General features: G+C 54.4%; 1 protein-coding gene and 1 long non-coding RNA gene across 2 annotated transcripts, besides 4 other annotated features; one reads left to right on the plus strand and one right to left on the minus strand.

Moving 5' to 3' along the window:
* Nucleotides 1-2: 2 nt before the first annotated feature.
* VSIG10L (V-set and immunoglobulin domain containing 10 like) lies at nucleotides 3-10601 on the minus strand. Its single transcript, NM_001163922.3, has 10 exons — nucleotides 10547-10601; nucleotides 9615-10469; nucleotides 8895-9188; nucleotides 8477-8761; nucleotides 7350-7604; nucleotides 6392-6670; nucleotides 5700-5996; nucleotides 2653-2766; nucleotides 2253-2407; nucleotides 3-1102 (listed from the first exon to the last, which is right to left on the minus strand). The coding sequence occupies exons 1-10, from the start codon at nucleotides 10584-10586 to the stop codon at nucleotides 1073-1075; spliced, it is 2604 nt and encodes an 867-aa protein (NP_001157394.1). The 5' UTR covers nucleotides 10587-10601; the 3' UTR covers nucleotides 3-1072.
* Nucleotides 7376-7715: a silencer, noted in NCBI's record as "silent region_10983". NCBI's record gives its function as "represses an Ori minimal core promoter by ATAC-STARR-seq in GM12878 lymphoblastoid cells {active_cell/tissue: GM12878}" and the evidence as "EXISTENCE:reporter gene assay evidence [ECO:0000049][PMID:35858748]".
* Nucleotides 8366-8635: a silencer, noted in NCBI's record as "silent region_10984". NCBI's record gives its function as "represses an Ori minimal core promoter by ATAC-STARR-seq in GM12878 lymphoblastoid cells {active_cell/tissue: GM12878}" and the evidence as "EXISTENCE:reporter gene assay evidence [ECO:0000049][PMID:35858748]".
* On the plus strand, nucleotides 8482-13157 carry VSIG10L-AS1 (VSIG10L antisense RNA 1). The gene is made up of 5 exons (NR_186316.1): nucleotides 8482-9179; nucleotides 9528-9636; nucleotides 10312-10447; nucleotides 12150-12273; nucleotides 12534-13157. It is a non-coding gene; the product is annotated as a VSIG10L antisense RNA 1 (long non-coding RNA).
* Nucleotides 12824-12913: an enhancer, noted in NCBI's record as "active region_15011". NCBI's record gives its function as "activates an Ori minimal core promoter by ATAC-STARR-seq in GM12878 lymphoblastoid cells {active_cell/tissue: GM12878}" and the evidence as "EXISTENCE:reporter gene assay evidence [ECO:0000049][PMID:35858748]".
* Nucleotides 13044-13143: an enhancer, noted in NCBI's record as "active region_15012". NCBI's record gives its function as "activates an Ori minimal core promoter by ATAC-STARR-seq in GM12878 lymphoblastoid cells {active_cell/tissue: GM12878}" and the evidence as "EXISTENCE:reporter gene assay evidence [ECO:0000049][PMID:35858748]".

Raw genomic sequence — 13530 nt, forward strand, 5'->3', positions numbered from 1 at the left:
AGTTCTTGCCACCATTTTATTTTGTTACTTGCAGTCAAAAGAATCCTCACCAATGCACTCTCTAAATTCTCAATTAGAAACCCAGCTGAAAAAGCAAGACTTACGCTGAAGACAGCAGCAGCAAGCCCAACTCTTCACTGGCACCAAAACATTTGATCAGTCAACAAATATTTATTGATTGCCTGCTGTGTGTGAGGCTCTGGGTTAAGTGCTGAGTTAATGATGTGGTCTCTGCTTTTGTAAAGCCCTTAGTTTAGAGAGAGAGTCTCAGGCCACACAAGAAATTACATATTTATGTATCAGGAACGGCAAATTCAAGGATTCTGGGACTTAACCCAAGACTAAGGGAGGGGTAAGGGAACGGTCGTCTAAGATGGTAACTGCTACTCTTAGACTTGAGAAATGAATGACATATGGGAAAAAGAAGTGTTATAAGCACAGCAAACTCTAGGGGCAAAATAAATTGTGGCTGAGAGACAGACTGTGATACTGGAGTCCGGGGGCAGAGAAAGAATTGGGAGGGGAGGTCAGGGAGGCCAACAGAGGCCAGACCACAAGGTTTTGAAGGTCACGACGATGAGTTTGGATAATATCTGAAGGGAAATGCACAGGCCGTAGAAGCGTTTAAAGAGAAGAGTGACATGATCTGATCTGTTTTAAGATGAAGATGCTGGGAGCTGGATGGGGTGTGGCCTACAGGTGGCAAAGTGAATGTAAGGGGACCTTTTCAGAGAACATGGCCAAGCTCCCTCTCTAGCTCAGAGCAACACAGCAAGCCCTGCCTGTCTGCTGCAGAGGCTTGGAGGTTGTGCAAACCACACAGTTAGATCAGCAAGAGTTTCCCAGCCAAGAAGTCACATCTCCTTACTTGCACAAATACAGGAAGACTCTTCTTCTGCAGCAAGAGAGGGAGACAGAAAGTCCCACTTTCAGGGTCCAACCCTCAGTCATAGCAGGCCCTGGCTGCTGCTGGAGTGAAATAGGAAGTTCTGGCCCAAAACGCCCTGTGCAGGGCAGACCACTGGCTCTGATCACACCTGTGTGGCTGCGCGAACAGTCTTTGAGCCTCCGCCTACAGAGACAACTGAACTGGGGTCTGTGCCTGGAAGAGAGAGGTGGGGTGAGGGGAGAACTCAGTAGGTACTCTGGATGTGACATAACTCACCCGCCTAACTTTTTCTAGCTCTTGCTTGAACTTTTTAGAGATTATCTGGGAACCCTCCATTTGGAGAGGGGAAAAAAAATGCCTGGCTATCCTTGGTGGAGCGAAGCCAGCCAACAACCCAACCCAGTTGTTATTTTTTATTTATTTATTTATTTATTTATTTTGAGACAGGGTCTCACTCTGTCATCCAGGCTAGAGTACAGTGGCACCGTTAGAGCTCACTGCAGCCTTGACCTCCCAGGCCCAAGCAATCCTCCCACCTCAGCCTCCCTAGTAGCTGGGACTACAGGTACGTGCCACCATGCCCGACTAATTTTAAAATTTTTTGTAGAGATGGGGTATCCCTATGTTGCCCAAGCTGGTATCGAACTCCTGAGCTCAAGTGATTCTCTCTCCTCAACCACCCGAAGTGCTGGGATTACAGGCATGAACTATCACACCCAGTCACAACAATCCTTCTTTTATGGGGAATGAGGTAACTGTACCCCACTTCATAGAGAAAAATGGGCCTTGCCCAATTTTTATGGGAAAGAAAAATGGAGGGGCTGGGCGTAGTGGCTCATGCCTGTAATCCCAGCACTTTGGGAGGCCAAGGTGGGCGGATCACTTGAGGTTAGGAGTTCGGGACCAGCCTGCCTAACATGGTGAAATCCCGTCTGTACTAAAAATACAAAAATCAGTCAGGCGTTGTGGTGCTTGCCTGTAATCCCAGCTACTCAAGTGGCTGAGGCAGGAAAATCGCTTGAACCCAGGAGGCGGAGGCTGCAGTGAGTCGAGATTGCACCACTGCAGTCCAACCTGGGCAACAAAGTGAGACTCTGTCTCCAAAAAAAAAAAAAAGAGAGAGAGAGATCCTATTTCCCTCCTTTGGAGAAGAAACTGGAATTCACTCTTATTTTAATATACATCAAAGTTGGGCGGGAAGCTCTGTCCAACTTTGATGCATTTTTAAAAAGGATAAAGTTATACAGACTGTAAACTAACAAGTAAAACTGGAGTTAGATAATTGAGACCCTCTCATCTCCCTGACTGTAATACAAGAAGTTCCGCCCCGATTCCAGGAGGAAATGAGGGCACCCACACTCACTTGGTAGGCCCTAGTTGAGCTGTGGTCCTCCAGAGGGACTTTGAGGTCCAGAGGCCATGAAATCTCCACTGGGGTCACACTATGCATCTTCTTTTCTGAGGGGGTGACCACGGGGACCAAGGTAGAAGGATGCTTCTTTTTCTCAGGAGTCTTTCCTGATTGAGAGGCAGAAGAGAAGCAGGAACACGTGATTGGCTGCCCCAACATGCCAACCCAGCCAATAGCAAGGGAAGCTGGTTGGAGAGGCGGAGCCTTATGCTGATTGGCTGATTTGGAGGTAGGAGGGCAGGATGGATGACCTATGACGGCACTGATTGCCTCAGCCAGGTCTTCCATAGGCCTCTTTCTAGGGTCCCTCCCCGTTGGTCATGGTTGCCCCTTCCCCAGTCCCCTTGCTCACCACGAAAGCGGCACAGGCAGCAGATGCAAAGGAGGAGAAGTACGGCTAGCAGCGCCAGGCCCAGCAGGGAGCCCAGGACGATGCCAGCGATGGCCCCATGGCTCAACGTGGGGCCTGGAAGAGACAAAGAGAAGAAAGAGAAGGGGAACAGGAACCAAGGTTGGACCCAAGTTTCCTAAGCCCCCTAACTTTGTGCTGGGACCCAGGAGTCCGGCCCCCACTGTCCCTCCCCTCCCAGAACCCAGGAATGTGGGACCCCAGCACTCTCAACTCATTTAACAGTTACTGAGTGACCGTGGTGTGCCTGGCTCTCAGACAGGTAGTGAGGATTCATTCGTGGGCCAAACAGGAAAGATATCTACCCTTATGGGGCTTAATTCTAGGAGAGAAGACATAAATAAATGAGCAATACATAAGATAATCACAGATTGTCCCGAGAAAGAAAAAGTGATGTGATAGAGATAATGGGGGACAGGTGTGGTGGCTCACACCTGTGATTCCCAACACTTTGGGAGGTCAAGGTGGGCAACCACTTGAGCCCAGGAGTTGGAGACCAGCCTGGGCAACATAGCGAGATCCTGTCTCTACAAAAAATAGAAAAACTAGCCAGGTGCGGTGGCTGCGCCTGTAGCCCCAGCTACTCAGGAGACTGAGGCAAGATCACCTGAGTCTGGGGACGTTGAGGCTGCAGTGAGCCCAGATCGTGCCACTGCACTCCAGCCTGGGCATCAAAGTGAGACCTTCTCTCAAAAAAAGAAAACAAACAAACAAAAAACAAAAAAGGAACAATGGGAAGGGATGTGACATTTAGAAACAGTGGTGAGCTCAGGTCCCTGAGGAAGTAACGTTTGAACAGAGACTTGAAGAATAAAGACCAGAGACAGTCATACTAAACCCGGGGAAAGGGCGTTCCAAGAGGAGGGAACAGTAAATGCAAAGGCCCAGAACTAGAAAAGCTTTCTCTGTTCAACGAAGGCCAGCGTGGGTGGAGGATAAGGAAGGAGCGGGCTGGAGGTGGAGAGTGAAGTAGAAAAGGTTTCCAGGAACCAGATCCTAAAGGGGTCCTGCAGAAATTAATGGACGGCTTTTATGTAGAGCAGCCTCATGATCTGATTTGCATAACTTTGGCTTCTGTGTGGAGAATGCATTATCTGACAGCAAGAGGGAGTATAAAGAGACCAAATAAACTGCTGTTGCAGTCCAGGCAAGAGAGGATGCTGTGTTTGACCAGAGCCTTGGGGTGAAGATGGAAAATATTTTAGAAGGAAAATGGACCGAACTTGCTGGCAATTAGGATGTCAGGGGTGATGTGGCCTGTAAGTGGTGACATTTATGAGGATGGGGAAGACTGCAGGGTTGGAGGATGCAGTTTTGAGGGAAAACATCGAAAGATCTGTTTTGGGCATATGACATTTGGGATGCTAATTGGACATCCAAAGTGAAGATCTTGACTCACGCCTGTAATCCCAGCACTTTGGGAGGCCGAGGCAGGCAGATCACTTGAGGTCAGGAGCTCAAGACCAGCCTGGCCAACATGGCAAAATCCTGTCTCTGCTAAAAATTCAAAAAAAATTAGCTGGGCGTGGTGGCTCACACCTGTAATCCCAGCTACTCTGGAGGCTGAGGCAGGAGAATCACTTGAACCCAGGAGGTGGAGGTTCCAGTTAGCTGAGATCATGCCACTGCACTCCAGCCTGGGTGACAGAGCAACACTCTGTCCACACCCCCCACCTCCCCAAAAAGTGAAGATCTTAAGTTGGGCGCATCCTTTTCAAGAGAGAAGTCAGGGCCCAGGATAAGACATTTGGGAGTCATCTGATTATTAATGTTATTGAAGGCCATGAGCATGAACATGATCACTTTGGGGAGTGAGGACTAAATCCTGAGATGCTCCAATGGAGGCATGTTATCAACTGAATTGTGCCTACCCCAAAAGAAAAACATATGTTGAAGTCCTAACCCCTGTTCCTGTGAATGTGACTTTATTTTGGAATAAGGTCTTTGAAGATGTAACCAAGTCAATTTGAGGTATTAGGGTGGACCCTAATCCAATATAACTGGTGTCCTTAAAAGAAGAGGACAGAAGCCAGGTGCGGTGGCTCACACCTGTAATCCCAGCACTTTGGGAGGCCAAGGTGTGTGGGTCACCTGAGGTCAGGAGTTCAAGACCAGCCTGGCCAACATGGTGAAATCCCATCTCTACTAATACAAAAATTAGCTGGGTGTGGTGGCGCATGACTGTAATCCTAGCTACTCGGGAGGCTGAGGCAGGAGAATCACTTGAATCTGGGAGGTAGAAGTTGCGGTGAGCCGAGATCATGCCATTGCACTCCAGCCTGGGCGACAAGAGCAAAACTCCTTCTCAAAAAAGAAGAAGGAGAAGGAGAAGAAGAAGAAGAAGAGACACACACACAGGGAAGAAGCCTGTGGGAAGCTGGAGGCAGAGGTTGGAGTGATGCAGCTGCAAGTCCAGGAACGCCAAGGATGAAACAGCCGCCACCAGGAGCTAGGAAGACACAAAGGAGGATTCTACACAGGGTCTCAGAGGGAGTAGGACCCTGTCGACACCTTGATTTTTTTTTTTTTTTTTTTTTTGAGACGGAGTCTGGCTCTTTCACCCAGGCTGCAGTGCAGTGGCTGATCTCGGCTCACTGCAAGCTCCGCCTCCCGGGTTCGCGCCATTCTCCTGCCTCAGCCTCCCCAGTAGCTGGGACTACAGGCGCCCGCCACCGCGCCAGGCTAATTTTTTGTATTTTTAGTAGAGACGGGGTTTCACCGTGTGAGCCAGGATGGTCTCGATCTCCTGACCTCGTGATCCACCCGCCTTGGCCTCCCAAAGTGCTGGGATTACAGGCGTGAGCCACCGCGCCCAGCCGACACCTTGATTTTAGACTTCTGACCTCCAGACCTGTGAGAGAAGAAATTCCTGTAGTCTCAAGCCATGCAGTTCATGGTACTTTGTTAGGGCAGGCCCCAGGACACTAAAACAGGGAGACACGGAGGATCTGGCACAACAGAGAAGGTCTACTCTGACAGCCCCAACTCACCGGCCCGGTAGACCCGGCTTTGTGATGGAGTCCCTGGCTGGCCCCCCAGGATGGGCAGGATCCGAAAGGTCCAGGTCCCTGGGTTCCGAGGTGGAAGGGGCACCACGGCTGACCGCTCCTGAGGCCCCAGGATGAGCAGGGAGACCCAGTCCCTGTAGGTGGAAGTCCTGCCCAGAGCAGGCCCATCTGGCCATGCCTGGATCTCAAAACTGCTGATCAGGGCCCCGCGCTCCACATCCCAAGTCAGCACGGCTGCATCTCTGGCTCTCTGAAGCCTCCACGAGGATATGGAGGGTCCTAGAGGGATGTGGGGGTGGCTGGATTCTTGGGTGCCAGAGGGGAGAGGGAAGGGGGCTGGGGGGCTGGGCTCCTGGGTCTGAGGGGGAGGGGGCTGGGGGCCTGGACTCTTGGGTCTGAGGGAGGAGGGGGTGGGGGCCTGGACTCCTGGATCTGAGGGTGGAAGGGGCTGGTGACCTGGACTCCTGGGTCTGAGGGAAGAGGGGCTGGGGCTAGACCCTTGGGTCTGAGGGAGGAGGGGCTGAGGCCTGGACTCCAGGGTCTGAGGGAGGAGAGGCTGGGGGCCTGGATCCGAGGTCTGAGGGAGGAGAGGTCTGGGGCCTGAACTTCTGGGTCTGAGGGCTGGAGCGGCTGGGGACGTGGACTTCAGGGTTTTTTGAAATAACGTGGCTCACCAATGAGGGTGATCTGGTCACCGCCAGCACCCAGCGCCCCACTGCACAGCACGGAGTAATTTCCCAGGTCCCAATCCAGGCTGAAGTTGCCGATGTGGAGTTTCCGCCCATCTTGACTGAGCCGCAGGCGACTCCCGCCTCCTGGAGCCAGGGGCCTCCCTTCCCGGGCCCAGGATGCCCGTGAGGGTGGGGGACAACCAGAGGCCTCCAGTGCCACCTCTGCCTCCCCCAACCGTGTCTCTGCCACCAGCGGATGCAGCAGCACCTCTCGGGGGGCCTCTGCCGGTGGGAGAAGTCCAGTTAAGAAAGTCAAGACCTTACCTTGGATTCAAAGAACAGATCCTATGCCCTACTTTAAATCAGATGGTGGTAAGCCCCCACGCTTTGGCCACCTGAGAAAGAACTGCCAATTTACTCACTCATTAGCTCATTCATTCATTCATTCATTTATTATCTGATTTCCTCATCAAACACTTATTGAACACATACCATAGGCGCAGGCCCTGTACTGGGAAACTCATATTATTTTCAGCTATTCTTTCTTCTTTATTATTATTATTATTTTGTAGCAATAATAATTACAAGACTGGGTCTTGCCACACTGCCCAGGCTGGTCTTGAACTCCTAGACTCAAGCAATCCTCCCGCCCCCAGCTACCAAAGTGCTGCGATTATTGCGCCCGGCCTTGTTACTTTTTAAAATATCACTGCTTTATCTCTCTGAACACGTGTGAAAGTGATGGCCTTCTTCCTGTGTCCAGAAAAATACCCCCATCCCTGCACCCCGCCACCATGAGGTATAGGAAAATCTTTGTCCCTTTTCTAGTTTGAAGACAGTGAAGTCCTGCCTCTTTCTTGGACTAAGGACGTACCCCATACCCCTTCAGAATTTTCGAAGGACCAAAGAAAAAGTCTCCCTCCTCCTCGAGAAACAGCAAAAAAGCCCCGCGCCCTCTCACCCGGCGTGACTGTGCAGGTACGCGTGGCCACCAGGTGGCGAGCAAGGCAGGTGATGGGGACGCCGCTGAGCCGGGGGTGGGCGGGGACGGCCGCCAGCAGCACAGAGGACACTGGCCCGGCGCGGATGCCTTCGGGGAGACCCTGGAACTGCAGGGAGGCAGCAGGGGCCCCGCCGGGCCACGAGCAGCGGAAGCGGAGGCTGCGGTCCCCGGGACCCCCTTCAACTGAGCACTGTGGGGCCCCGGGGGGCAGGTCTGCGGAGAGAAGGGAGAGAATGAAGATGGAGTCCCTTTCTCATTTCTTCTCCAGCCCCGCCTCCCCGCGCGGTGACTCCACCCTTCTTCACTAGCCCCACCCCATAGGCGCTCACACTCCCCACTTTTCCTGCGATCCCGTTCCCTTTTCCCATTAACTTCCTCGCTAAGTGGGTAGCCCGCAGCCCTGCTGACTGCCCAACTTTCTTAAGAAAACTGCATCTTCACACAATGATATTTCTCTTCCCAAACGTAACTCAGCCCCTTCCTTTCCAGCTCCACCCACTTCTGCCAGGTTACTTCGCCCCCTCCTGGATTGCACTCCGAGAAGCCTCCCCTTTTCCCAGATATCTCCGCCCTTCCTTGTGGACCCCTTCCCCTTTCTAAGACAATTCTGCCCGCTTTCTAAATGACCTCGCCCCTTTCCCTGGTGACTCCGCCCCCCTTGCCAGGTAACTTCTCCCTTTGCTGATCCCACTTAAGCAAATTAGTTCTTTCCTTTTCTAACTCCCACTCTTTGCCATTTAACTCCGCTTGTCGACTTTGTCGAGTGTTCCATGCCCAGGAATGTCCGCCCTCTCAGTGCTGGGCCGGCCCGTCAGTCCTGGTCATCCCTGCCACTCTATTTGGCTCCTTCCCTTATCCTCTTTCTGGCCCCGCCTCTTATCCTAGGTGTCTCCGCCCCTCCGCGCTGGCCCGCCCCACCACGGGTATCCCAGCTCCTTCTTGGTGACCCGCCCTCCCGCTGGCCCTGCCCCACCCACCGGTATGCTGCTCCTCCTTGCTGGCCCCGCCCCTTTCCTCTAGCCCCGCCCTCGTTCTGGCCCCGCCCCTCTCCCAGGCATTCCCCTACTCCCGCTCCAGCCTCTCACCCGCCACTGTAAGGTTGAGCAGCGAGCGGCGGCGGCGGCCGGTACGCGGGTTCGCCGCCAGGCAGGCGTAGGTGCCTGCGTGGCCCGGTCCGACCGCGGGCAGCAGGAGGCGCGACCCCGCGGGCACCGCGGCCTCGGCCGGGTCCGCCAGGCTCCACGTGATGTCGGCGGGCGGCCGCGAGGCGGCGGCGCAGCGCAAGGTCACGTTACTGCCCGCGGTGACAAAGCGGGCAGGCGCGGCGTCGCGGTCCGAGGAGACCGTGATGGTCGGCGGGTCCGGGCCGTCTGGAGGGAGGAGGGGTCGGGACCGCGAGTGTCAGGGTCACCTGGGACGCCGCTAGGACTCCCGGAGACTGGGTCCCCAGCCCGCTTCTCCCCAAGGACCCCCTGTCCCCGACCCGAGGCATCCCCCACTCACAGAAGACGCTGACGTCGGCGGCAGCCTCCCTGTGGCCGAAGGGGCTGCGGACGCGGCAAGTGTACCGGGCGTGGTCGCTGCGCACAGGGCGCACGATGAGCAGCTGGTCGCCCTCTGAGCGCATCCGGGGCGTCTCGGCTCCCTCCGATTCCGCCGCCTCCAGGGCGCGTCCGTCCCGGCTCCAGCTCAGCTCCCCGCGACCTGGCCCCCACCCCAGGCAGCGCAGCCGGAGCTCGGCCGCCCCCTCCTCTGTCTCTGGAGCCTTGGGCTGAACCGACAGCTGGGGTAGGGGCTCTGGGAGAGGGAGAATGGGCTCAGGACCCACCCAGTCCTGGAGCCCATCTTTGGTCCCCTTAGAGGGAACCCCAGCCGCTGCTCCCTCTAAGCCCCTGGAGTCTCAGCCCCCATCCCTCTCCTCTCATAAACCTATGAGTTTGAGCCCCCAGACACCTCCTCTCCGGGACCCAGGAGTTCGCCAGAAGAGGCTCCTAGCCTCCTCCTCCTCCCTCAGACCTGGGAGTTCAGGCTCCCAGGAGTCTCCATCCCAGGTCCACCTTTGCTCAGACACCCCTGCCTTGACCTCTAGCTCTTTTTCTCCCTTCCTCAACCCAGAAGTCCTCTTCTCCTATCCAGGGACCCCACAGCACCGTGACTTGCCCAAAGCCTGGCAGAGCAGAGCAGCCCCTGCCGCCTGCACGCCGGACGCCAGGGCCCACTTACCATACACACCCACCGTGAACTCGTGAGTCTGCTGGGAGACCCCTGCCCGGATGACCTCAGCCGTGTAGACCCCTGCATCGTCCAGCTGGGCAGAGGCGAGCTCCAGAACCCCCCGGGCCTGGTCAAATCGCAGGTGGTCTCGGTGAGCAGGGTCCAGGCTGATCAGAGGTGCCCCTGGCCCCAGGCCCCCAGCTGCCAGCACCTTTGAGCCCCGGCGCCAGACCACCAGAGAGGTGGGGGGCCCAGGGTTGGGGATTGGGACTAGGGGGAGCCGGATGGTGGTCCCCACCAGCACAGCGAGTGGGCCCCCCACCTGCTGGGGAAAGCTTGCAGCTGAGTGGGTCTCTGCAGAAAATTTGGATTCAGGGCTCTGGGCAGAGAGTTTAAGATCCATATCATCCGGGGAGAATTTTGAATCTGGGGCCTCAACAGACAGTTTGGTATGGGAGACTTGAGTAGAAATGTTTGAAGCTGGGGTCTTAACAGTGAAGGAAGGCTTGGGGTCTTTGGCAGGAACTTGAGGATCCGAAATATCAGGAAATACTTCAGAACCAGGGGTTTCAGAGAAGGGGGAAACCGGGCTCAAATCTTGGCCCTCAGCAGAAACATTTGACCAGAAGGACCCAGACATGTTGGAACTCAGGGCCTCAGGAAACCAGCTGGAATCAGAGATTCCAGCAGAGGCTTTTGAATCCAGGAACTGATCTGGAACTTTCCAGCTGGGAGGTTTGATGGAGGGAACTTCCACACCCAGCCCCTGGGAAGAGCTCTTTGAGTCTGAAGAGAAGGCAGAGGAGAAGTTGGTTTGCTGAAGTCCAGAAGAGGCTCTGAGGGTGAGGATCCCTACCAAGGAGGCTGCAGAGAAGAGAGGAAGGCATTGGGGGAGGCTGCTGAGGGAGACTGACAGGGAAGGGACTGAGCAGGGAACTTACCCAGGAGTAGGAAGAGTGGCAGAGCCTGTGGGTTGTCCATGGTGCTGGCCTCACTGAAAGGACACTGGAGAGAGACCCAGGACTGCACCCATCCCTCCCGGGTCAGACGAGTCCAACAGGACTGGTAGCTTAGCTTCCTGGGAGGGGAAGGGAGCCAGACCCAGAGGGAGGTGCCAAGATCCTCAACCCCAGTGTGGTGGCTGAGCTGCCCACCTCATCCCACTCTCTTCATTAGCTGGTCCCATCTGCAGAGAGGCCCAGCCTGATCCCTGCCCTCCCCACCCCCAGGGGGAAGCTGGAGAAAACATTCCCAGCTAAAAATGTGGGAGCAAATTTGTGAGACAAAGCCAGGAAGACTTCCTGGAGGAGGGTGAGGTGACCTTTCCGAGAGCCCCACCTCTGATGGCCACAGCTTCAGAGCAGGCTTCCTCCTCCCCAGCCTCCTGGCTCCTTCCACTCTGTCTTGCCTGCAGCCTCAGATACATCTGACCCTGCTCCTCCTCTGCTCCAAACCCTCCCACGGCTCTCTGTTGCCCTCAGAACCAAGTCTCCAGGTGCTATCTCCTGCCAGGGCCTCTATCCTGAGACCAGAGCTGCATTTCCGCATCCCCGAGGCCCTCACATGGCCTGTGTCCCGCTAAACTCAGACTCTTTCCTCTAACCCAAACTTCCTCACACCTCCAGGATGGCTTCACTGTCTTCGCAAATGCTGGAGAACATTCCCACCTCCTCCCTCCCTGTCACCACTGTCGATCTGAGTCCAACCCTCCTCCCCCTAGTTCTCACTGGCCAGGCTCTGTCTTCTCTTCCTGCCCCGTCTCCCTCCTCTGCCCAGTCTCCTCCATTCCCTGCCAGGGTCCTTCTATACCCAGAGCTGAACCTGCCTCCCCCTGCTCACAGCCCTCCCCTGGCTCCCCAGTGCCCTCTGGAGACATCCAAGGTTCAAAGCAAACTCATGCACAGCCCCCACTCAAGCACTTGAACATCCTGCCATTCTTATCCTGCCCGCCCATCTCACCTCCCAGTCCTCTACCTGGAATGCTCTCTCCCACTCTCCACCTCCCTCCAACCTGGCTAAACCACAACTTGTCCTTCAGGTCTCACCTTATTAAGAACCATAATTACCACTTAATTTGAGCCAGGAACTACGCTAAATGTTTCCTATGCACTATCAGGCTGAACACTTCTAAACACCCTATAAGCTGAGTGTCATTATACTCACTTTGCAGGCCAGGGGACTTAGGCTCAGAGAGGTCAAGGGACCTGCAGGAGGTTGCACAGCCAGAGGGAGAAGCTGGACTTGGGACCAGGATGGTCAGACCATTGACTCCTTCTGATAGCTTTTCCCACCATCCCATGTGGAGCTTAGGGCCTCTGCTCAGCTCCCAGTCCTCTAAGCTTACCCTGGCCCAGTTCTCACCAGTAATAATACTGGTAATATATATATATTTTGAGATGGAGTCTCGTTCTGTCACCCAGTGAGTGCCTCAGCTCACTGCAGGCTCCATCTCCCGGGTTCAAGTGATTCTCCCGTCTCAGCCTCTGCAGCAGCTGGGAGTATAGGTGTGCATCACCACACCAGGCTAATTTTTGTTATTTTTAGGAGAGATGGGGTTTTGCCATGTTGGCCAGGCTTATCATGAACTCCTGACCTCAAGTGATCTGCCCGCCTCAGCCTCCCAGTGTTGGGATTACAGGCGTGAGCCACCGTGCCCGGACTAATATTGGTAATAATATATATTTAGCATTTTTTGCATAGCAGGTGTGGTTATGGGGGTGCTACATAAATTAACCTTTCAAAACTCCATGGAGTAGATGATGTAGCTTAAAGAGGGCTGCAAATTTGAGCGTCCTCCTGTTAAGATGCGGGGTCTATGTCCCCTCTGCTTGGATCTGAGTAGCTGTGTGACTGCTGGACCAAGACGTGGAAGTGGCCCTGTGCCAGGATCTGCATCTAGGCCGGCATATGCCACTTTCTGTATCATAGGACACTCCCTCATGGAATCCAGCCGCCACACTGCGAGGATCAGCAGCCCCATGGAGGGGAATCATGGCCCCTGGTCAGCAGCCCCAGCCAGCTTGCTGGCTATGTGGGTGAGCCCTCTTGGAAGTCAATCCCCTGGCCCCATTTGAGGCACATGAACTGATCCTGAACTGGATCCAGGAATGGATCCAGTGGGATTTGACCCAGGGCCCTGGGACCCAGAACCCATACCCTTAACCTCTACATGATGCTGTTACTATTTTCATCTGCAGATGAGGCAACTGAAACTCAAAATAGGAAGGAACTCACCCAAGATCTAGCTGGCAAAGGTAAGAGTGAGCATATGAAATCAATATATCTGACTCTATCAGAAGGCCAGAGGAATGGAACACAATTTTTTAAATAAAAAATTAGTCCAGGCGCTGTGGCTCACGCTTGTAATCCCAGCACTTTGAGAGGCTGAGGCGGGCGGATCACTTGAGGTCAGGAGTTCAAGACAGCCTGGGCAACATGGTGAAACCCCGTCTCTACTAAAAGTACAAAAATTAGCCGGGTGTGGTGGTGCAAGCCTGGGCAACAGAGCGAGACTCTGTCTCAAAAAACATAATTAAAAAAAAATTAACCTGACTGTAGACCCAGGCTGTTCATTGCAACGCTAAGTTTTGATTCTCTGTGGCTTGTCTGTCTCACACCAGAACCACAGCTTCTGGCCTCATTCTCTCCTGTGTCCCTGCTGAGACTGGGGACACAAGAGAGAATGAGTGTCCTGCAAACATCGTGGATAAAAGCCCTTCTTCTCACCCACCTCACTGATATTTGTGTTCCAACACTCAACTTGGAAGTCATCTCCCTGGGAAATCTCTGACCCCACCGGCTGGGCCAGGCCAGGTCCCCCAGTTGGGTTCCCAAGGGCCCAGTGTGCCTCCACGTCTAGCATACTTCACCCCGAATTACAGCTGCCTTTGTCCTCATTGTCCCCCGCATCAATACAGAGGCTCCT

Source organism: Homo sapiens, chromosome 19 (assembly GCF_000001405.40).
Source record: "Homo sapiens chromosome 19, GRCh38.p14 Primary Assembly".
Lineage (NCBI taxonomy): Eukaryota > Metazoa > Chordata > Mammalia > Primates > Hominidae > Homo > Homo sapiens.